General features: G+C 49.2%; 2 annotated features.

Annotated features, from left to right (window-relative positions):
- Positions 241–310: a silencer, noted in NCBI's record as "silent region_18875". NCBI's record gives its function as "represses an Ori minimal core promoter by ATAC-STARR-seq in GM12878 lymphoblastoid cells {active_cell/tissue: GM12878}" and the evidence as "EXISTENCE:reporter gene assay evidence [ECO:0000049][PMID:35858748]".
- Positions 421–530: an enhancer, noted in NCBI's record as "active region_26937". NCBI's record gives its function as "activates an Ori minimal core promoter by ATAC-STARR-seq in GM12878 lymphoblastoid cells {active_cell/tissue: GM12878}" and the evidence as "EXISTENCE:reporter gene assay evidence [ECO:0000049][PMID:35858748]".

Genomic DNA, 926 nt, shown 5'->3' with positions numbered 1-926 from the left:
GATATGACTGATAAGTGATATGACTTGCCTTAAAACACAAACTCGAGCTCAGGGCACCCAAAGCCTCTCACTCATCTATCCGTTCACGTATCCCTGGAGCTTCTCCTGCAGGCCAGTGCGAGGAGGCCGTGACCAAAACACGGCTCCTGTCTTCAGGGAGCCTGTGACTTCCCTGGGGAACGAGGTAAACAGGTCATGAAGACGCATAGTAGCTGCTGAGGGAGCTAAATAAAAGCACGTGGGAGGAGCCTCTAACTGGGGAGTTTTTCCTGGGAGGAGTCTGGTGAGCTGAGCCCTAAAGGACCAGAGGGAGGAACCTCTGACTGGGGAGCTTTTCCTGGGAGGAGTCGGGTGAGCTGAGCCCTAAAGGACCAGAGGAAGTCAGCCACGCTAAGGAGCGGGGAAGGCCTGGGGGAGGCTGTTTCTAAGCAGGGAGCAGAATGCACGAAGCCCCCAAGGCCCATGAACTCTGTGGCAAGCCCGGGTGGGCACGACTGGGCTGGCTGCAGTCTCCCTCAGTTCCACCACCCTGTCTGCAAGGAGCAAAGAAACCCCAAAGTACTTTGTTGTCTTAGTAAACACAACAGGTGACTCAGGGTATTACGTCTCTGATTATGATAATTTGTAAAAGTAATAGAAGCACGTTTGAGAAAATGTTGAAAATCAAAGGGGAAAAATATGTACCTTTAATCTTATCACTGAGCATAGTGAACATAGCAATTTAGATATATTTCCTTGTATCCTCTTCTATATACAAAAAGAGTTAATCGTAGTTTATGTACAATTTCATAATTAGATTTTTCACTAACCTTTATAATCACTGGTGTATTTCATACGCGAGGGCCAGCACCATGGCATGCAAACTGGGGCTCAGCCTCCATCTTCCCACATGCAGCGCCGTGAGGGACCCCTGGGATTTGACGTGG

The sequence above is a fragment of the Homo sapiens genome, chromosome 7 (assembly GCF_000001405.40).
Source record: "Homo sapiens chromosome 7, GRCh38.p14 Primary Assembly".
Classification (NCBI taxonomy): Eukaryota; Metazoa; Chordata; class Mammalia; order Primates; family Hominidae; genus Homo; species Homo sapiens.
This window is presented reverse-complemented; position numbering and strand designations above follow the sequence as displayed.